The sequence below is a fragment of the Homo sapiens genome, chromosome 14, assembly GCF_000001405.40.
Source record: "Homo sapiens chromosome 14, GRCh38.p14 Primary Assembly".
In the NCBI taxonomy this organism is placed as follows: domain Eukaryota; kingdom Metazoa; phylum Chordata; class Mammalia; order Primates; family Hominidae; genus Homo; species Homo sapiens.
Genome location: NC_000014.9, coordinates 25,851,679 through 25,876,412, shown reverse-complemented (window position 1 = coordinate 25,876,412; position 24,734 = coordinate 25,851,679). Strand labels below are relative to the sequence as shown.

General features: G+C 35.7%; 2 annotated features.

Moving 5' to 3' along the window:
- Positions 7,576 to 7,870: a silencer, noted in NCBI's record as "tiled region #8007; K562 Repressive non-DNase unmatched - State 24:Quies". NCBI's record gives its function as "represses a minimal TATA promoter and a strong SV40 promoter by Sharpr-MPRA in K562 cells {active_cell/tissue: K562}" and the evidence as "EXISTENCE:reporter gene assay evidence [ECO:0000049][PMID:27701403]".
- Positions 18,815 to 19,316: an enhancer, noted in NCBI's record as "H3K4me1 hESC enhancer chr14:26326303-26326804 (GRCh37/hg19 assembly coordinates)". NCBI's record gives its function as "activates a minimal SCP1, AML or CMV promoter by ChIP-STARR-seq in naive H9 embryonic stem cells {active_cell/tissue: H9 hESC(naive)}" and the evidence as "EXISTENCE:reporter gene assay evidence [ECO:0000049][PMID:30033119]".

The window sequence follows — 24,734 nt, the reverse complement described above, 5'->3', positions numbered from 1 at the left end:
AATAATTATAAGAAAACACACACAATTCACACAAACATACACAAGCCCCATTTATTCTAGCTTTGCAGACTCACTCATAACATAAAAGGAATAAAGTCCAAGTAAGTCAGAGTAAGACAGATATTTTGTTTACATGAATTTTGTCTGGCAAGACTTAGCAAAAAGAATTCAGAGAGAAGCTGCTAGAATACTTTGTGCATTTCCTGAAGTTCTCAGCACGTATTATACAATTATTGCTTCTGAAAAAGAAGTTTTCTAATCCCAGAGAAGGTATATTCTACTTGCCATGTCCTGTAGTTAGTCTTACTCTTGTTCTTTTTGGTTATGGTTTGCCCAAAATAGCAATTCAAAAACTAGTGTGGACAATATTATAAAAATCAGGAACTTTTTATTTCTGATTGGAAAGCTATTACATATAAAAATTATGTAATAGTCCAATCAACTTTTATAAATTTTTACATAACTGACAATTATAGAAATTTTTAGTGAGACATCTTTTTAGTTTCCTCTTCCCTTGTTTGCACACAATGCAGTGGCTGAATAATGTATTTATGCTGTAGAAATTAGAGTTCAATGTATTATGCTATTAAAATAATATATTACAGCATTACCAGCATCATTATTACAAAAATGGATTCAGAATAATAAGCCAAATTTGACCAGGGGACTGTGCAGCCATAAATCTACCAGAATCGCACAAGGCGCAGTTTTGCTGACAAGAAATTCCTATGTACTGGTCTCTTGAGACATGTTAGTTAGATTCATATGCACAGGATGTAAGAATATCAAGCACTTCTGTTTGAATGCCAAAGAGAACACATTTAAGCAGATAATGTCCTTCAGGAACAGAACACATTTAAGCAGATAATGTCCTTCAGGAACAAAAAATAAAACATTTCTTCACAAAATGGGAGACTCCACTATTCCTATATTTGGAGAAACATCAAATGTACATTAAAGAATCTCAAAATGACTATATATAAAAGTGACAAGCTTCGTAATTAAAAATATAGTGCCCAGAGTTGATGGCACATTATAACCTATTGCTCAAAATTGAGGTCTGGTTCTAGGCAAAGTTATAACTCAAACAAAATTTATCTTTGTTTCCTCTACTCCTTAAATCGTATTCCCTTTGTCCACTGGCTACTTCATTCCTTCCAACCCAGGCCCTGTCATCTAGGGCGCTCATTTTCTTTAGAAGGGAAAACAACAGAATATCGAGCCTGGGAATGCCCTATAACTTAGTCATCAAACTGTTTATTTGTAAGAAAAGAGATCCTGACACATTAGCAGAGATGACCAACATCCCAAAAAAGAGTCATCACCTCTTATCTATGTGGGGATATATCCAAAGACCCCCAGTGGATGCCTGAAACTGGATTACACTAAACCTTATATAAATATTATATATTTTTGTTCCTTTACATACATCCCTATCACAAAGTTTATAAGGTATAATAAGACATTAATGGCAACTAATAATAAAATGGAACCACTATAACAATATACTATCATTAAAGTTTTGTGAATGTGATCTCCCCCTCTAAAATTATGTTACTACAAGTAACTGAAACTGCAAAAAAGGAAAACTCCAGATAGGGGAAACTACTGTATTTCATAGCACATTCTCAAATAAAGCACCTCATTTCTTGATTGATAAGATGCATTATGTCTTCCTTCTAGGACTGTTTTTATTAATGGCTGGTAAATCCTGAGGCTGGGACTCTGTGTTACTGACTGGAAATGCAAACAGCCATAGATGCTATTGTTCTGTGTTTGTGTCTGGGGCCTGAGGCACTTACTTAAAGTGGAAGCCTAGCAAAGTTATCTCTGCATTTTGAAAAACCTCCACCAATGATTCCTTTGCATAGAAAGAAAAATATTTCTTCTAGACCCATGAAAATGTCTAAGTGTAGGCAGAGCTCCTGGTTAATATCCACATTTGTCTGTAGAAAAAGACTAATTGATGGATATTAAAGAACACTTATTAATCTATAATTTCCTTCTTTAAAAAAATTTAATTCCTATAAATTTCCACTAGTAGTTTATTTATTATTTGAAGAATCTTCAAACTCATCATTTATTTCTTCCTTGTTGGTATTACATACAAATTTTGTAGGAAAGTTATCCACGCTTGATTTTACATATACTCTGTTAGTCTAAGGTAGTATTTCAGACATTAGTGTGCATAGAAAACACCTGGGCCAAAGACCCTGGCCTGAAGCTCTAAAAAGGTCTAAAAGGTTCCTCGGTAGGCCGAGTGCAGTGGCTCATGCTTGTAATCTCAGCACTTTGGGAGGCCGAGGCAGGTGGATCACTTGAGACCAGGAGTTCGAGACCAGCCCAGCCAACATGGCAAAACCCCGTCTCTACTAAAAAATACAAAAAATTAATTAGCTGGGGGTGGTGACAGGCACCTGTAGTCCCAGCTACCTGGGAGGCCAAGGCAGGAGAATTGCTTGAACCCAGGAGGCGAGGTTGCAGTGAGTCAAGATCATGCCACTGCACTCCAGCCTGAGCGACAGAGCAAGACTATCTAAAAAAAATAAATAAAGCTTCTCAGTGATACCAGTGCTGCTTTTCTGGGGACCAGCTATTGAATGGTTCTACTATAGACTGAACAAAGATTGCCAGCCTATGGGTCATAAGGTTTGAATTTATCTGTGTGCTATTAGATATGTATAAATGCCCCCATGTGGCTCTGCCTTGACGTGAACAATGCTTCAAAAGTGTCCTCACCTACACAGGAGAATTATCTTAATTTTATTGCTCCTAGAATTCTTGAAAGATCAAATGATATACATAATGCATTAAAATGGCGCATAAGTTATGAAGTGCTATGTGATTAATCTTAGTTATTAATGTATTATTTCAAGGCCCTCCTCTGAGTCAATGTAAACTAATTTGAGAATCAAATTCACTGCCAGAAATAAAACATTGGGCTGTATGTATCAATTATTAAAATCACATAATCATTCTAGAAGAATTATGGGCCATAAGTGTTTGAAAAAGACTCAGTCCCTTATTATTTAAAATGCAAAATTAAAAAACATCCTGTCATATTGGTAAACTTAATAATATTATTGTTTATTCACTACAATGCTTAGCGATGGGGAAGGTACACCTATGATATACTGGTAGCGAGAGAATAAAATGGTACTTGGTTTCTAGATATATGTGGTACTTGGTTTCTAGATATACGTGTTAAGAACCCTAAAAAGTGTTTGCTGTTAAACTCAATAACTTCACTTCTGGGAATCTATTTAAAAAATAAAATAATGTGCTAAAAATAGTTTATGCATCAAAATGACTATTACAGAAGTAGTATTGATTATAATAAACTTTGCAACACCCCAAATGACCAAAATAGTAGTATTATGTTATGATCTGAATGTTTGGCACCTCCAAAATTCATGTTGAAATTTAATCCCCAATGTGGTAGTATTAAGAAGTGGGGCCTTTAAAAGGTGATTGGGTTACACCCTCATGAATTAATTAACCTATTCATGAGCTGATGAATTAATGGGTTATTATGGAAATGGGACTGGTGAATTATATAAAGAGGAAGAGAGACCTGAGCTAGCACACTCAGCCCTCTCGCTCCATGATGCCCTATAATGCCTTGGAATTCAGCAGAGTCCCACCAGCAAGAAGGCTCTCACCAGATGCAACTCCTTGACCTTGGACTTTTCAGCCACCATAAATGAAAGAAATACATTTTGTTTCTTAAAAATTAGTTTCAGGTATTCTGTTATGAGCAACAGGAAATGGACTAAGACACACTGCTAAATAAAATACGGTACATTAATATAATGGAGTGCGAGGGTGAAACTTTATTCAGAAAAACTTGTCGTTTCAAACTTACATTTCAGTGGACAAAAACAAAGCAGCTATCCTCCAGAGCAAATCTGGTGAAACAGAAGAGCCTTAGTATGCAGTGGATTCCCAAATATGTATATATACTTTGACCTTATAGGATCACTACAAGAACTGCCTTGATCAGAGATTTGGAAAAATATTTTTATATAAATATGTTTAACATACTATTACCAAAAATATAAAAACTAACCAAATAGCCACTCGTGGTGGAAGGTTAACACACATGCTCCAGTATAGAATATGATACATATGGTTAAATGTATAAAATATCACATATGACTGAATGACTATAAAATTTAGAGAGATAAAAAGACAGAAACTTAATATATAATATGAATTTATCTTATTAGGATAAAATGCCCCAAGTAGTAAAAATAATCTTTAAGATAATTTTACATACTTTTATATATTTAATTTTTTATATTTACTATGCACTATTTTTATTACATAAACTTTTTCAATCAATTCACATTGCATGTGTGCTTTTAGGGAACAGGTATAGAAGAAATGACAGATAATTCATCAAGCTAGCAGTTGATATTATATAAACACAGTAATTGCTTGACTGGATATATTTAATTTTTACCCTTTTACAATTTTTCTGATGTCAAAGAAACAGTTCCAAAACTCCTATAGAGATAATACCTACAAAAATAATCCTCAGGGAAAATGGAAACCAAGGTTTCGGCAATTTTTTAGGACTTACAATTTTATGTCCACTAGACTATGGATATGTGAACCTGTTCCCATTCTCAGAACTGAAGCAGGTGATTTAAAGAACTTATGCCTAAGTCGGGGTTCTATTAAGTCTACACACAGCAACCTGTGAGGAAATGTAGTTGACAACTATCTTTGAAACGTGCAGATGGCATTTTGAGGGCCTTTACACTGCACCCCATCCATTTTTTGATATTTCAATGTAATAGAGTTCTTTATTCAGAGGATCTTTATGGACACCTACTATATAGCCAGTACAACACTGGGTGTAATAGGAATTCAAAGATACATGTTAATGTAAACTCAAGTTGCATCTCCCAGAAAGGAGATCATAAATCTTAGTCATAGATAAAGCAACATGACAGCAAATGATATAAATATAAGAGAAGCACAAAGAATCTGATGGAAGACCAGAGAGGATTACCCTGGTAGGGTAGTTAGGAATGGCTTAATGGAAAGGCAGCCTGGAGGATAAGAACAGGTACAGTTGGTAAGAATGGAGAGGGAAGACTTTCTGATACAGAAAATAAAAGCAAAGGCAACAATAAAGCAAACAATTATGTCATATCTGGGAATACTAGATTCTTCTATTTAGAACAAAATATTAAGTTGAAAAAAAATACCAGGCTGGGTGCAGTGGCTCACGGCTATAATCTCAGCACTTTGGGAGTCCAAGGCAGGCAGATCACCTGAGGTCAGGAGTTCAAGACCAGCCTGGCCAACATGTCAAAACCCCATCTCCACTAAAAAAAAAAAAATAAAAAATTAGCTGGACATGGTGGCTGGTGCCTGTAATCCCAGCTACTTGGAAGGCTGAGGCAGGAGAATCACTGGAACCCGGGAGGCAGAAGTTGCAGTGAGCCCATATTGCACCAACACAGTCCAGCCTGGGCGACAGAGCAAGACTCTGTCTGTCTAAAAAAAAAAAAAAAAAAAAAAAAAATCAAAAGGTTTTGCCGAAATCAAACCATCACGTGTTCTAAGTTTCAAGCCAAGGTATCTAAACTTCATCTTATGGGGAAGAGGAAGTCAGTGAAGGTCTTGGAGTTGCAAAATTACACAATTTAAATAACAGGTTAAGATGATTATTCTGATGTTAATATGCTAAAGGGTTTTATGGGAACCCAGATCTAAGGGGATTATATAAGAGACAGACCAGAATTCCAAATGTATCTCAATAACTTGACTATTAATATTGCCCTGAGAAAGTGTCTCCTGTCCTTTCTGTGTAATCTACCATCAATATAAACATATCTTTATGTGAATTAGAAAAAGGAACCCCATAGGGCTGGGGAAGCCCAGGAGCACACTACATTGCTTGGGAAGCAGACAGCACCTTTGTGCCAAAAACAAAAACAAAACAAAACAAAAAAACAAAAAACAAAACAACAACAACAAAAAAAAAAACAGAAAAACTTTCCTCTAGGTCTCTGAGTAGATTTTGCAACATTATTTGCATGTGAGGAAAGAGGAGTATAATCCTGGCTTTGTTTTAGCCTTCATTCTCCACTTAGGAAGATTTATGCATTACATGCACCGGACAGCTACAAATGGAATTGTGTTTCACTTATCCTACCTTCCAAGATTGTGGTTAGCACATATACCCAATGTATTTAGAAAAGGATTGTAACAGATATCCAATGAATGATAAGGATGGTGGTGGTGATGACGGTGATCGTGAATAGGGATAGCAATAATATTAGTAATAGTGTCTACTGTTATTATCTTGACTCAGCATATAAAGGACTTGGACCAATATTCAGAAAATAGAAGTGATCAGGTGAATTAGAAAATTCAAAAGGGAAAATGAATAGTACTTGACTGGTTATATTTGCTGAATGAGGGAAAATAAGTCAAATATGACTTTCAGCTTGATAGATAGTAAAAGAATAATTATGCTCCAGTAAGAAATGGCGAAGTCAGGAAAAGCAATTATGGGAAAGATGACAAGGTTTGTCTTTCACCTGTTGTATGTAAAAGTAAAAGTGAAGTATCCAGGTACAAATATTCATCAGGTGATTGAAAATGTGGGATCAGAGCTCACTGTAAGGATGGAGCTAGACCCAATAAATCTGAGATTCAGGTGCATAACTTCAAAGGTGCATTATAAAACTGTATATGATCACTGAGGGAAGGTATGTAAAGAGAGAGAAGAAAACATGGATAGAAGTAAGGAGATTCCTTTGTGTAGCTGTTAGAGCTTATCTACTACTTAATTCCAGAAAGATGCCATTCACAGCATAGTTGATGTGATAAAATCCCCATGAAGGAGGGCAAAGTGCCTTCGTACAATTATACGTGATAGCCCTGTTTGGAGATTTCCCACGTTTAGGAAATGATGGAGTTCTGCTTCAGCAAAAGATGTCTGGTCTCTCCTACTGAATGCAACTATAATATGTGAACAGAAGGCATGCAGCAGCTCTTTGAGAATCCTGAAAAGAAAATAGTAGTAAGCAGATTGGGGAAGAAGACAAGAATTAAAAGTACCACCAAAGTGGTGGTGAATTTATCATTTTTCTTCTCCAGTATCTCCTAGCCTGAATGTAATGCAGTCTGAAACCTTAAAGTAGACATTAGAAAGAACAGAGAGCTCCAGGAGAAGCTTACTAGTTTTGGCTCAGGGAATCAAAAAGGGAGCTTCTCATTCTCAGAGAGAGTGTAGACTTCCGTGTTGTATTTTTCTTACCACTATTTCCTTGTTCCTTATCCTACAAGCAGTCATACCACGGCAGTGGAACACGCCACAATGCAAGAGGAGGCCACAGAAAGCAAAAGGAGGATAATTGTCCACTCTTAATTGGTGGAGTTGTGATCCTGAAAGAGTGGCATCAAGCCTTGGTGCCTTTTTTTCTCTTTGCCCTTCTACCTTTTGGCTCCCAGATTAGTCACAGAAATTCAAAATAAAGCAACTAAAACTCAGCTGCTTTCTGACTGGACAACCAGAAAGGGAAGTCCCAGGGAACTGGAAAGTAACAGAGACATAGCACAGAAAGAACCTCAGGAAAGCTACCCAATAAAATTTCTTAGAAATACCTGGGTTCACTCAAGCTGGCATGTATGGGTCGAATCAGCATACCAAAGCCTTTTGAAATGGAAATAGATCACTACCCACAGTGGTGCATATGTGAGGTGGGTATGAATAGCACCACAAAGGCTTTGAAAACATAACTACCATAGGAACCACAGCTCACAGAAGTTGGTTGGGACTTGCAGAATGAACCTAACCATGTAAATCGCTTACTGAAATAAAAATATTAATATTCAAATAAGGTCGAGGTTGACATTCTCATATTTAAAATGTTCAGTGTACAATATTGCTAAAGATATGAGAAGACAAGGAAAACCTTGACTCTCATGAGAAAAGGCAAACAATCAACAATGCCAAGAAAACACAGGTGTTGGAATTATCTGACAAATACTTTGAAGTAGTCATTACATAAATACTCTAATAAGTAATAAAAAGCACGCTAATAGTGAAAGGAAAAATAATCTAGCAAATAAGGAGGAAATAATTTCTATTTCCATCTCATCAAATACAAATTATGGAATGGAAAATACAAGAAATAAAATAAAAATCTCGCTGGTTGGGCTCAACAGTAGATTGGAGATAGATTTGAATCTCAACTTGAGTGAACCTGAATGATTAATATAAATTATCCAGTATGAATAACAGAGAGTAAATGAGTTTTTTAAAAGAGTTGATCCTTAAGACCTGTGCGACAGTACAAGAGGTCTAATATTTGTGTCATCAGAGTCTTGAAGGAAGGGAAGAAGAGTGTAGCACTATATATATATATATATAATGAAGATATATATATAAAAAGATATAATATAAATTTATATAATATATAAGAGATATATATTTTCTATATATAATATATAAGAGATACATATTTTCTATATATAATATATAAGAGATACATATTTTCTATATATAATATATGAGATACATATTTTCTATATATAATATATGAGATATATATTTTCTATATATAATATATAAGAGATACGTATTTTCTATATATAATATATAAGAGATACGTATTTTCTATATATAATATATAAGAGATACGTATTTTCTATATATAATATATAAGAGATACGTATTTTCTATATATAATATATAAGAGATACGTATTTTCTATATATAATATATAAGAGATACGTATTTTCTATATATAATATATAAGAGATACGTATTTTCTATATATAATATATAAGAGATACGTATTTTCTATATATAATATATAAGAGATACGTATTTTCTATATATAATATATAAGAGATACGTATTTTCTATATATAATATATAAGAGATACGTATTTTCTATATATAATATATAAGAGATATGTATTTTCTATATATAATATATAAGAGATATGTATTTTCTATATATAATATATAAGAGATATGTATTTTCTATATATAATATATGAGAGATATGTATTTTCTATATATAATATATGAGAGATATGTATTTTCTATATATAATATATGAGAGATATGTATTTTCTATATATAATATATGAGAGATATGTATTTTCTATATATAATATATGAGAGATATGTATTTTCTATATATAATATATGAGAGATATGTATTTTCTATATATAATATATGAGAGATATGTATTTTATATATATAATATGAGATATGTATTTTATATATATAATATATAAGAGATATGTATTTTATATATATAATATATAAGAGATATGTATTTTATATATATAATATATAAGAGATATGTATTTTATATATATAATATATAAGAGATATGTATTATATATATATAATATATAAGAGATATGTATTTTATATATATAATATATAAGAGATATGTATTTTATATATATAATATATGAGATATGTATTTTATATATATAATATATGAGATATGTATTTTATATATATAATATATAAGAGATATGTATTTTATATATATAATATATGAGATATGTATTTTATATATATAATATATGAGATATGTATTTTATATATATAATATATAAGAGATATGTATTTTATATGTATAATATATAAGAGATATGTATTTTATATGTATAATATATATGAGATATGTATTTTATATATATAATATATAAGAGATATGTATTTTATATATATAATATATATGAGATATGTATTTTATATATAATATATATGAGATATATATTTTATATATATAATATATATGAGATATATATTTTATATATATAATATATATGAGATATATATTATATATATATAATATATATGAGATATATATTTTATATATATAATATATATGAGATATATATTTTATATATATAATATATATGAGATATATATTTTATATATATAATATATATGAGATATATATTTTATATATATTATATATGAGATATATATTTTATATATATTATATATGAGATATATATTTTATATATATTATATATGAGATAGATATATATCTTATATATATATTATATATAAAGATAAGATATACATAATATATCTTCATATATTATATATAAAGATAGATATATATAAAGAAGAGTGTAGCTATATATATATATATATATATATATATATATATAGGCTGAAAACTATGTTTAAAGATGTAAGTATACAGTTTGGGAAAGTTCATCAAATACCAATCAGGGTAAACTCAAAGAAATTCATGGAAATATAATAATGAAACTCTTGAAAACTAAAGACAGAAAAAAAAATACTAATTTTGAATGTAGCCAGAGAAAAACGATCAATTACTTGTAGGGGAACAATGTTCAACTGACAATGAACTTCTCACCAGAAATCATGGAGATGAGAAGAAAGTGGCAAATATTCTTAAAACACTGACAGAAAACAACTGTAAACCCACAATTATGTTTCAGAAATGAAGGTAAAATAAAGATGTATTACGGAGGAAGTATTTGGAATGATGGAATTGCTCTGCGTCCTGATTCTGGTGGTGATTGCATGACTGTATACGGGTGTTAAAGTTCATAACACTATACGTCAAAAAGTCAATTTCACTGTATGATAATTAAGCAATACAAATAACAAGGGAAAGAAATGAGACTCTGAAGCCAGAAAATAAATGTATCCACATAGATATCTTGATTTTATTGTACATTTTTTTCTTTCACTACCTGCGCTTTCTCTGACTGTCCCCTGGGTTTAGAAAGAGTGCCATCGTGGATAATATCAAGTGAGAAGATGAAATTATGGCTATTTTTATAATTGGATAAGATAGCTTTTTCCCCACATAATAAATTCCTAGTGGCAATTTGAAAACTATATTTAGCATTAAAGTCTTTAATATATCATTTGTTGAATGTTCTACAAATGTGATAACTGAAAATGTGGCAACCAGTGGCTGCTGTTTCATGATGGCTGTGAGAGGGACTTCTTTGTGGACCCACATAATCACCTGGAAGTGGGTCAGTAGAAGCCGTCTTACATCACTCATCAAGGCATGGTGGGAGGGCCAAGATCAGAACTGCTAAGAGCAGTATGGCAGCAGGTGTGATTTAGGAAGTAACTGATAATAGGATTTGATTTATGTAATCCTAACTTTAATTAATACTGGACTAATGCTGATCACTTACAGTTTACAGCAATGCTTTTCAAACAAACATTGTTCTAGAAGACCTAGGCCTCAAGGTGGGTGTTTAAGGAGCACTGCTGGTGAGGCTATGAGGAGACCAAGGAGATAGTGTTCCTAGTGCCTTCCCCAGTCTCCGCAGTGTAGGCTACAACATTTGGGTTTCTATGAAGATTTTTATTGGAAAGGGGGTTGTATTTCTAGGAGGTTGAGGGAATGTTGTATGGGTCATATTACAGATAGCCCTACCTAAAGGTATTCAGCCAGAAGCAGATACAGAGGCAAATTGACCACATTGGTAAATTTTAGTGTAACTTTCAAGAAGGAACTATGAGGGACTTTTAGGAACAGCTAACTTTTCCAGGAGGTTTGAGATACGCTTTCATAGAAGCTCCTGAAATAGGAATAGGGAAAGGGGAAAAAATGCTAAGAAAGCCTATGGGAATGCTATATCCAGTGGTAAGAATCAGAGAAAAACAGTAACACAATTTTCAGATTTTCCAGCTGAACTGCCTGCAAATGAATCCACAGTGCAGTAATACCTTCTGGATTTTCAGCACAAGTAATTTTCAGCCACTTCACTGAGCCTGTGAGAGAGGTTAAAAAGAATGGGGGAAAAGAGAAGAATGAGAGGAGCACGTGATGACAAGGAGAGAATGACACAGGCCCTTGGAAGTGAACAATTTTAAAATTGCTAAAGAATGCATAGAAAAGCCAGAAATGATTTTAGAAGGCATGATTTAGGGACCTGAAAAAGAGGTTTTAAATACTGAAGATTAAAGAGAAGAGAGACGATATTCATACAGTCAGAAACGAGAGGACTGTCACCAGGGTCAGTCATGACAGGGTGGGATCTGGGCCACATGAAAGAATTCTGTTAGGTTGGTGCAAAAGTAATGGCAAAAACCGTGATTACTTTTGCACCAACCTAATAGATGTATTCCTTCCTCACAGGGGCATGTCTCTGACAGCCTGTCATAGGGTAAATAGATACTGCCATAGGACCACTATTGATTTGTGAGACACCAACAATACCAGGACAACTGACCCCTGAGTTTCGCCTCTTCTAAGTGTCTCAAAGAATGTGGGCCAGGTGTGTCCTTAGTCTGTGGGATCAGCTCGACTCACATGGAGGAGTCCTTTGGTCTTGCTTTTAGTAGTGGAGATAAAACAAGATTTCAAGGATAGAAAAGGAAGAGGCTAAGAAAACAAGTTCTCTCTCAGTTCATATTAACTTATGTCAAGAGAAACAGACAGAAGTACCAGAGGAGGACGTTCACTATTTGAAGACAGACTACTATAGGTTACTCTCATCTCTAGCAAAAACCCATGTTATCCAAACAGTAGTATGTCTCCAGTACTAAAAAGTGGAAAATTTCTAAAGCTCCTTTTCTAAGGGCTGCTGGTTAAGTAGAATTTGTATTTTGGTTTATTTTTTTTAATTTTTAAATAAAAGTTTGTTTTTAACCTAGTAATTTTCCTTATGGACCAGTGGGTCAATATGTTTTGGCAACTTTGGAAAACATGTTTTATTATTTCCCCAATCAAACCAAAAAGCCCCTTAGGAGCCATTGTAGTCTATTGGTTAAGTATGGTTTCGTTCCTATGCTTCTTTAAAGGCTTTATTATTTACAAATAGACAGTAATGGCTTCATCTGAGCTAATCCAGTTTATCATGCCATTATATATTTAGGGCATGTCCTGCATTTAGAAAAATCCCTTTAAGAATTCTGTACAAACTGCCAAGAGCCACAGAAAGATTCGTTAAACTTGCCAAATGCAGTATTATCTGCATCCTTACCCTAGAGAAGATCAGCAATTAACTTCTTGCTCCAGGAGTACTCAAGCAAAACCGATTCAAATACCTGGTCATGATGACTCTGCTTCAGGAAATATCCCCAACTGGACAGGCAACAATTGTTTATTCTTGGCTACTAAGGGGGTGGTGAGGGAGAATATGATGCACATTTGTTGTCTACCAAAATAGCCATCAACTAATTAGTAAGGGGCTTATGAAGTACACCACTACACCACTTTCAGTGCTCCCAGACTGGTGAGGAGATGTTAGGAACTGGCAATGCTCACTTCCTTTTAATGTCTACTGGGCTACCTATAAGAGAGTCATTTAGTTTTACGTTCTCCATTAAAAAAAAAAAAATGTTCTGGTTTGTTTTAAAGAAAGCTGATATTCCACACTGAATTGTAGTTTACTTTCTTGCATCTGCAGAAAGGATAGTTTGGTAAAATATTTACTGCATTGGGTAAATTTTTCCACATATATATCTAGCCCTGTGGGAAGAGAAATTTAAGTCAAACTCAGAGAAATTGTTATGAATCAATATGAAGGACACAGAGAACTCCAGACAGATGCATGTAGATTATATGGGAATAAATGAGATATATCCATACAAGGTTGATACAGCCCTTTAAACCCTTGCCCAACCAGGGAAGCCCTGCTTTGGATTTTGGCTGCTTGGCTGATCATTATATCTCACTTTGTGACCCTCTTGCTTAAAGAATATGTCACATCCTCCATTTATTGAATTTAGGACGTTATCATTGGCTCTTTAAAGTAATCAAATGGGTGGAAAAAAAAGAAAGTGCAAAGATCTTAATAATCACCCTGCAGTGTGGTAAAGGGACAATAGATCATGAAGAATACCTGAAAAGAAGAAGTCATAATGCAACTGCTCAAGACAAAGACGACAGTGAGTTATTTGTGCTGGCTCTTCTCGCTTGTCAAAGGTGGGCACGGATGCCCTAACCTTTCAGATCCTGACCAAACTCTTCAAAGCTACCCCAACATGCCTTCAAATACATATTTTGAATAATAACATCAAGGAGCGGTGAAGAAATGTGAGGCTCTCGAGACTACAGATGCTTCGTTTTCCATTTTCTGTGTACTTCTTTTGTTCCAGACAATTCCAGACTCCATTCCCAATTTTTTCTCTATGTGCAAAAACTAAGGCTTTGTGCACTCTGTTGCTATGGAAACAGGAGAGGGAGAAACAGTTTATGTATTTCAAAAGCTGTCAGCCTATATGCTGTGGATTTTGATAACTAAACCTACACATAAACCATCTTCCCTCCACTTCCAATGCTCAACACCTAACTTTATAGCTAGATAGATGGATAGATAGATGTGTGTGTGTGTGTGTGTGTGTGTGTGTGTGTGTGTGTGTGTGTGTCTGTGTGTCTGTGTGTGTGTTTCTATGTGTGTTGCTTGGGAAAATTAAGGATCTATTTATTTAGCTTTGCTGCAATCCCTCTTAATTTAGTGTCCAGGGGACAGAAAGAAGCTTTGGTGATGCAGTTAGAGAAATACAGAACTGTTCTTAATAAATGCTTACTAAATCAGAATGAAGACAGAGTTAGCAGGCATCACAACTCAATTTACTGCCAAAATAAAAAAGATTGAAGCTCTATTAATTTTAAAACAGATCTGAATGTTGCCAGGCTTATATTTTATAGAAATGTAATGTCTGCTATACCCTCTTCAGCTCTCTAATAAAAGAGCTATTTTGAAATTACAAAATACACTGTTTTCCCCCAGAGAACCCAATTCAATAGCTTATTGATTTTTCCTGGCATCCTTAGTCTGGTGTGAAGGGGCTTCTGGGCTCCCAGACCTGGAAGGAGAGAGTGTGTTTGTAATTGATTCATATTCTGTACAGCAAAGTCACCTCCCTACACTCTTCAACTCAAAGTCTTTATGATAGTCCAACCCATTAAGTGCTTGCCTTCCTACTATTCTCAGTTGCTTGCCAGTATTTCCTAATAGTTTCAAGAAAATAACTGCCATCGTAAGGTCATTTTTAATCAAGTTTAGATAACACAGTTAAGTGGACCAAGAAAAATACATGAGAAGTTTGACCTTCAAATCTAGAACACACTCCAATAAACAAAGGGTCTGTCCCAGTCATTAAAGGGTCTGTCAGGTTCTCTGCCATATGACCCGTTTTCCTGGTGTTTATAACTAGATGATTCACTTGAGCCTAAAAATCAGGCCCTCATATAAAAATGTCTGGGATTGTTTCTCCCCTCCATGAAGAAATACTAGCAATCACTGATCCATGCGTGCATAAATGATAAGTGAGGGACTAATGAGAACATGAACAGCTAGTGATGCTCTTCATTTTCTTTCTTTCTTTTTTTTTTTTACTAGAAAAGGAAAGCCCTTGATCTTAAAGGAAAAAAAAAAAAACACTCAAGTTCAAAATCTACTGGTCACAATATGAGTTTCAGAATTGTATTAGCTTAGTCTCCTGGTTCTATGTAGTCATTTACCCAGTAAATGAGAATAGTTACAGAAGGATTAGAACTCTTCAGAGTGAATTATTGTGTTATTCTTAATAATCATAGGTATATATAACCCTTTTCCTCCAAGGAACTCACAACATCTAATTGACCTTATCTTACAAATAGTTACCCTACTCCTGAGAGGTGATACATTTTAAATTTCTATTAAATTGCTATGGGTAAATAAAACCCAGAGATAGCAAATGGCCTCATCAAGTCTTTTGAAAGAGGATATATGATAGCTTACAGATAAAATTTTAAAAAATGAAGTCTAATTGATTGAATCGTTAAGTATGTAGATTTTCTAAGTCCCTACTAATTTGGAAAGTTTCTAAAAGGTGTCAAAGGATTCCGCTTTCAGTGGCCCTGCCCTCCTCACAGATTTTGCCAGTTACTTCAATGAGAAAATCAAATGAATGGTTACCACATTTTCAGACGGTATATGCTGTAAGGAATAAAATATATATTGTACAATAGAATGAGGTTCCAAAAAGATATTAACATCTTGGGAAGATGGCTAAAGCCAACAAAATTAAATTTAGTAAGAATGCAAATTCCTGATCTTAGGTTAGAAAAAAATAAACATAGTTGTGAAAGAACAGCTTGGGAAAGGTGTGAAAATTATTTTTATAGATTTTTATAACAACAACATCAATAAGAATCTGCTATGTATCACATCTGATAAAGGAGCAAACATGGCCTTAGGCTGCATTCACATAATTACGGGATTCTGAATAAAGAAGGTGCTAGTTTGGATGTAATCTATCTGGTCAGACATTCTCTAACAGTCTCACTTGTCTGAACTTAAAAATCACCTACACTTCTTGATATAGAATCTCCTGGAAAAGAGAGTAGGAAATGAGTTTATTCCAGTGAGATGAGCAGAGTGCTAAAGGAATTACACCTATCCTTTAGTTTGAGAACATCTAACAGAACTAGTGATGTTTAGCCTAGAGAAAAAAGATCAAGGGAAAACACAATAGTTGTCTTCACTGTTTCCTTAGTGATAAAAGTAGGGCTGATGTTTTGAAGATATATGAGCCAGATTTTTATGTAATACACAATTTTCACAATCTGGGCAGTCCAAAGATTAAATGTACTGCTTCTGTGGGTAGTGAGTTTCTCCATTGCTAGATCTAAGTATCAGATGGGTAATTAGTCTTTGAGATCCCTACTAAACAAAGTTTATAATTATGATTCTAGAACTTTCTAGAGTAAACCATAATATCCCTGGTCAAAGGCAACAAAATATATAATGGACTGATACATTAAAATATATAATTCATAATGCATCTGAACAATGGAAAATATGGAGCTTCCATTTTATCTACCCAGTGTATGTAATGAGGAGATTTTATTAAAATTTTCACTTCTAAAGGTGATATAAAAATGCACCTGTCAAGGAAGGATGGTCTTTATGCTTACACACTTTGATGCAGGTATGCTGAAGCACAATTATCCCAGCTACCACCTGTAACATCCCTCCTGCAGACTGAATGGTTGACCAAAAAAGAAATTTAGAGGTGGTTCCAGGACTTGGGGTAGGAGCATTACTACCCCATTACTACCCATTACTGTTTAATGGGTACAGAGTTTTAACTGGGGAGGATGAAAATGTTCTGGATATGGATGGTGGTGATAATTGCATAACAATGTGAATGTACTTAATATCACAAGACTGTGTACTTGTAAATGGTTAAAGTGGTAAATTTCATTCTGTGTATTTTACCACAAGAAAAAAATTTAAAAAGAGAAACCCAGATATTCTCACTCTGAGTGATTAAATTCATCCCCTGGGCATTTTCAATAATTTGGTCAGCATATCCATAATGAAATCTTCATCATAAAATAACTGCTTACCAGATCCTTCTGGGTCTTCCCTTTTCCTCTCACAGAAGATGTCTCCTTCTGAGGGTATCCATAGAAACAGGGACACATGTGTGGGATGTGCTTAAGGTATACATGTGTACTTGAGTGAAGGAGAAAAGATTCGATCCTAGCTCTTAAATGCAGGGCTTCAGATGCCAGATATGATAGGATAAAAATTACCACTTACCTATGAGAAGGAAATGGAGTTACGGCTACAACTATTAAAGGAAGAGAACCCACAATGAGATGTGATTCTCATTAAATTATATATCTTAGAAAGTATGGAAGGTCTCTTATTTGTAGTATAAGTTGTAATATTTTATTATGTATAAGATTGAACCAGCAGGGTTTATTTGCAATTCAGGTTTAATGGACTGGCCTCCACCTATTGATTCTGATCCTGTAGATCTTGGGTTAGGAAAGTTCAGTTTATAAAAAGAAATCCAGATGTTTATGATGAGGCTTGTTGAAGAATACATTTTGAGAAATACTAAACTAGATTATATAGCCCAATAGTTCTCAAACTTCTTGCCTTAGAATCCCTTTTTATTCTTAAAAATCAGTGAGGACACCAATGAACTTCTGTTCATGTGGGTTATATCTATCACTATTATATTGGAAATGAATACTGAGAATACAAAAATTACTTAATTCATTTACGATTATAATAAACTGTTAAGTAAATTAATGAGTTCTAAAAACAATATTTTTACAACAAAAAATTGGTGATAAGAAGACCTTGTTTTACAATTTTGCACATCTTAGTGTCTGGCTTCATAGGAAACTTATGAATTCTCATATATATGTCTACATGCAATTTGATGAAATATGTTGTTTTTGTTGAAGCACATGAGGAAAACCCAGCCTCAAACAAACACGTAATAGGACAATAAAATATCATTTCAATAACCTTTTCATATATTTGTAGACATTGTTCTTTGATGCTATACCAAAGCTCAACAAGTGGCAGTTTCTTAAAGGTTAGTTACCACGTGAAATCTGAAACCATATAAACAAACATTTTCTTCTCTGTTACCTTAAAATATATTGGCCTATGGAGGGTGGAACCAAGATGGCCGAATAGGAACAGCTCCAGTCTACAGCTCCCAGCATGAGCCATGCAGAAGACGGGTGATTTCTGCATTTCCTACTGAGGTACCAGGTTCATCTCACTGGGGAGTGCTGGGCTGTGGGTGCAGGACAGTGGGTGCAGCGCACTGTGCGTGAGCCGAAGCAGGGCAAGGCATAGCCTCCCCTGGGAAGCCCAAGGGGTCAGGGAATTCCCTTTCCTAGTCAAAGAAAGGGGTGACAGACGGCACCTGGAAAATCGGGTCACTCCCACCATAATACTGCGCTTTTCCAACTGGCTTAACAAACGGCAAACCAGATTATATCCCACACCTGGCTCGGAGGGTCCTATGCCAAGGGAGCCTCCCTCATTGCTAGCACAGCAGTCTGAGATCAAACTGCAAGGCGGCAGCGAGGCTAGGGGAGGGGCGCCCGCCATTGCCCAGGATTGAGTAGGTAAACAAAGCAGCCGGGAAGCTCCAACTGGGTGGAGCCCACCACAGCGCAAGGAGGCCTGCCTGCCTCTGTAGGCTCCACCTCTGGGGGCAGGGCACAGACAAACAAAAGGCAGTGTAACCTCTGCAGACTTAAATGTCCCTGTCTGACAGCTTTGAAGAGAGTAGTGGTTCTCCCAGCATGCAGCTGGAGATCTGAGAACGGGCAGACTGCCTCTTCAAGTGGGTCCCTGACCCGCGAGTAGCCTAACTGGGAGGCACCCCCCCAGTAGGGGTGGACTGATAGCTCACACGACCGGGTACTCCTCTGAGACAAAATGTCCAGAGGAACGATCAGGCAGCAGCATTTGTGGTTCACCAATATCCACTGTTCTGCAGCCACCGCTGCTGATTCCCAGGCAAACAGGGTCTGGAGTGCACCTCCAGCAAACTCCAACAGACCTGCAGCTGAGGGTCCTGACTGTTAGAAGGAAAACTAACAAACAGAAAGGACATCCACCCAAAACCCCATCTGTACGTCACCATCATCAAAGACCAAAGGTAGATAAAACCACAAAGATGGGGAAAAAACAGAGCAGAAAAACTGGAAACCCTAAAAATCAGAGCATCTCTCCTCCTCCAAAGGAACGCAGCACCTCACCAGCAACGGAACAAAGCTGAACGGAGAATGACTTTGACAAGTTGAGAGAAGAAGGCTTCAGAAGACCAAACTACTCCAAGCTAAAGGAGGAACTTCAAAACAATGGCAAAGAAGTTAAAAACCTTGAAAAAAAATTAGACAAATGGGTAACTAGAATAACCAATGCAGAGAAGTCCTTAAAGGAGCTGATGGAGCTGAAAACCATGGCACGAGAACTACATGACGAATGCACAAGCCTCAGTAGCCGATGCGATCAACTGGAAGAAAGAGTATCAGCGATGGAAGATGAAATGAATGAAATGAAGCAAGAAGAGAAGTTTAGAGAAAAAAGAATAAAAAGAAATGAACAAATCCTCCAAGAAATATGGGACTATGTGAAAAGACCAAATCTATGTCTGATTGGTGTACCTGAAAGTGATGGGGAGAATGGAACCAAGTTGGAAAACACTCTGCAGGATATTATCCAGGAGAACTTCCCCAATCTAGCAAGGCAGGCCAACATTCAAATTCAGAAAATACAGAGAATGCCACAAAGATACTCCTCGAGAAGAGCAACTCCAACACACATAATTGTCAGATTCACCAAAGTTGAAATTAAGGAAAAAATGTTAAGGGCAGCCAGAGACAAAGGTCAGGTTACCCGCAAAGGGAAGCCCATCAGACTAACAGCTGGTCTCTCAGCAGAAACTCTATAAGCCAGAAGAGAGTAGGGGCCAATATTCAACATTCTTAAAGAAAAGAATTTTCAACCCAGAATTTCATATCCAGCCAAACTAAGCTTCATAAGTGAAGGAGAAATAAAATACTTTACAGACAAGCAAATGTTGAGAGATTTTGTCACCACCAGGCCTGCCACTGCAAAAACAAATTGTAAAGACCATCAAGGCTAGGAAGAAACTGCATCAACTAATGGGCAAAATAACCAGCTAACATCATAATGACAGGATCAAATTCACACACAACAATATTAACCTTAAATGTAAATGGGCTAAATGCTCCAATTAAAAGACACAGACTGGCAAATTGGATAAAGAGTCAAGACCCATCATTGTGCTGTATTCAGGAAACCCATCTAACATGCAGAGACACACATAGGCTCAAAATAAAGGGATGGAGGAAGATCTACCAAGCAAATGGGAAACAAAAAAAGGCAGGGGTTGCAATCCTCGTCTCTGATAAAACAGACTTTAAACCAACAAAGATCAAAAGAGACAAAGAAGGCCATTACATAATGGTAAAGGGATCAATTCAACAAGAAGAGCTAACTATCCTAAATATATATGCACCCAATACAGAAGCACCCAGATTCATAGAGCAAGTCCTTAGTGACCTACAAAGAGACTTAAAGTCTCCCATTATTATTGTGTGGGAGTCTAACAGCCCACTGTCAACATTAAACAGATCAACGAGACAGAAAGTTAACAAGCATATCCAGGAATTGAACTCAGCTCTGCACCAAGCGGACCTAATAGACATCTACAGAACTCTCCATCCCAAATCAACAGAATATACATTCTTTTCAGCACCACACCACATCAATTCCAAAATCGACCACATAGTTGGAAGTAAAGCACTCCTTAGCAAATGTAAAAGAACAGAAATTATAACAAACTGTCTCTCAGACCACAGTGCAATCAAACTAGAACTCAGGATTAAGAAACTCACTCAAAACCGCTCAACTACGTGGAAACTGAACAACCTGCTCCTGAATGACTACTGGGTACAAAAAGAAATGAAGGCAGAAATAAAGATGTTCTTTGAAACCAACGAGAACAAAGACACAACATGCCAGAATCTCTGGGACACATTCAAAGCAGTGTGTAGAGGGAAATTTATAGCACTAAATGCCCATAAGAGAAAGCAGGAAAGATCCAAAATTGACACCCTAACATCACAATTAAAAGAGCTAGAAAAGCAAGAGCAAACACATTCAAAAGCTAGCAGAAGGCAAGAAATAACTAAGATCAGAGCAGAACTGCAGGACATAGAGACACAAAAAACCCTTCAAAAAATCAATGAATCCAGGAGCTGGTTTTTTGAAAAGATCAACAAAATTGATAGACCTCTAGCAAGACTAATAAAGAAGAAAAGAGAGATGAATCAAACAGATGCAATAAAAAATGACAAAGGGGATATCACCACCGATCCCACAGAAATACAAACTACCATCAGAGAATACTGTAAACACCTCTACGCAAATAAATTAGAAAATCTAGAAGAAATGGATAAATTCCTTGACACATACACCCTCCCAAGACTAAACCAGGAAGAAGTTGAATCTGTTAATAGACCAATAACAGGATCTGAAATTGAGGCAATAATTAATAGCTTACCAACCAAAAAAAGTCCAGGACCAGATGGATTCACAGCCGAATTCTACCAGAGGTACAAGGAGGAGGTGGTACCATTCCTTCTGAAACCATTCCAATCAATAGAAAAAGAGGGAATCCTCCCTAACTCATTTTATGAAGCCAGCATCATCCTGATACCAAAGCCGGGCAGAGACACAACCAAAAAAGAGAATTTTAGACCAATATCCTTGATGAACATTGATGCAAAAATCCTCAATAAAATTCTGGCAAACCGAATCCAGCAGCACATCAAAAAGCTTATCCACCATGATCAAGTGGGCTTCATCCCTGGGATGCAAGGCTGGTTCAATATACGCAAATCAATAAATGTAATCCAGCATATAAACAGAACCAAAGACAAAAACCACATGATTATCTCAATAGACGCAGAAAAGGCCTTTGACAAAATTCAACAATGCTTCATGCTAAAAACTCTCAATAAATTAGGTATTGATGAGATGTATCTCAAAATAATAAGAGCTATCTATGACAAACCCACAGCCAATATCATACTGAATGGAAAAAAACTGGAAGCATTCCCTTTGAAAACTGGCACATAGTTCCAAACATAGTGTTGGAAGTTCTGGCCAGGGCAATCAGGCAGTAGAAGGAAATAAAAGCATTCAATTAGGAAAAGAGGAAGTCAAATTGTCCCTGTTTGCAGATGACATGATTGTATATCTAGAAAACCCCATTGTCTCAGCTCAAAATCTCCTTAAGCTGATAAGCAACTTCAGCAAAGTCTCAGGATACAAAATCAATGTGCAAAAATCACAAGCATTCTTATACACCAGTAAGAGACAAACAGCCAAATCATGAGTGAACTCCCATTCACAATTACTTCAAAGAGAATAAAATACCTAGGAATCCAACTTACAAGGGATGTGAAGGACCTCTTCAAGGAGAACTACAAACCACTGCTCAATGAAATAAAAGAGGAAACAAACAAATGGAAGAACATTCCATGCTCATGGGTAGGAAGAATCAATATCGTGAAAATGGCCATACTGCCCAAGGTAATTTATAGATTCAATGCCATCCCCATCAAGCTACCAATGACTTTCTTCACAGAATTGGAAAAAACTACTTTAAAGTTCATATGTAACCACAAAAGAGCCCACATCGCCAAGTCAATCCTAAGCCAAAAGAACAAAGCTGGAAGCATCATCACGCTACCTGACTTCAAACTATACTACAAGGCTACAGTAACCAAAACAGCATGGTACTGGTACCAGAACAGAGATATAGACCAAAGGAACAGAAGAACAGAGCCCTCAGAAATAATGCCGCATATCTACAACTATCTGATCTTTGACAAACCTGACAAAAACAAGCAATGGGGAAAGGATTCCCTATTTAATAAATGGTGCTGGGAAAACTGGCTAGCCATATGTAGAAACCTGAAACTGGATCCCTTCCTTACACCTCATACAAAAATTAATTCAAGATGGATTAAAGACTTACATGTTAGACCTAAAACCATGAAAACCCTAGAAGAAAACCTAGGCAATACCATTCAGGACATAGGCATGGGCAAGGACTTCATGTCTAAAACACCAAAAGCAATGGCCACAAAAGCCAAAATTGACAAATGGGATCTAATCAAACTAAAGAGCTTCTGCACAGCAAAAGAAACTACCATCAGAGTGAACAGACAACCTACAAAATGGGAGAAAATTTTTGCAACCTACTCATCTGACAAAGGGCTAATATCCAGAATCTACAATGAACTCAAACAAATTTACAAGAAAAAAACAACCCCATCAAAAAGTGGGCAAATGATATGAACAGACACTTCTCAAAAGAAGACATTTACGCAGCCAAAAAACACATGAAAAAATGCTCATCATCCCTGGCCATCAGAGAAATGCAAATGGAAACCACAGTGAGATACCATCTCACACCAGTTAGAATGGCAATCATTAAAAAGTCAGGAAACAACAGGTGCTGGAGAGGATGTGGAGAAATAGGAACACTTTTACACTGTTGGTGGGACTGTAAACTAGTTCAACCATTGTGGAAGTCAGTGTGGTGATTCCTCAGGGATCTAGAACTAGAAATACCATTTGACCCAGCTATCCCATTACTGGGTATATACCCAAAGGACTATAAATCATGCTGCTATGAAGACACATGCACATGTACATTTATTGCGGCACTATTCACAATAGCAAAGACTTGGAACCAACCCAAATGTCCAGCAATGATAGACTGGATTAAGAAAATGTGGCACATATACACCATGGAATACTATGCAGCCATAAAAAATGATGAGTTCATGTCCTTTGTAGGGACACGGATGAAGCTGGAAACCATCATTCTGAGCAAACTATCACAAGGACAAAAAAACCAAACACTGCATGTTCTCACTCATAGGTGGGAATTGAACAATGAGAACACATGGACACAGGAAGGGGAACGTCACACACCAGAGACTGTTGTGGGGTGGGGGGTGGCGGGAGCGGGGAGGGATAGCATTAGGAGATATACCTAATGCTAAATGATGAGTTAATGGGTGCAGCACACCAACATGGCACATGTATACATATGTAATAAACCTGCACATTGTGCACATGTACCCTAAAACTTAAAGTATAATAATAATAAAATTAAAAAAAAAATCTATTGGCCTGTCTTGCACTAATTCATAATTTTGTAATGGTAAACATTTATTACTTGCAAAATCTTCTTTTTAAAGTTATACAGAGCTAAATGTTGATACATTTTGTTAGACGTCAATCATATCACATATATTAACTTCACTGCTGATGTAATTAGAGAAGTGTTAATACACCGGGACACTACCAAGATCATGATAGTGAATAAAATTTTTCCACAATTGTAATTATTGTTTGAAAGCTTAAA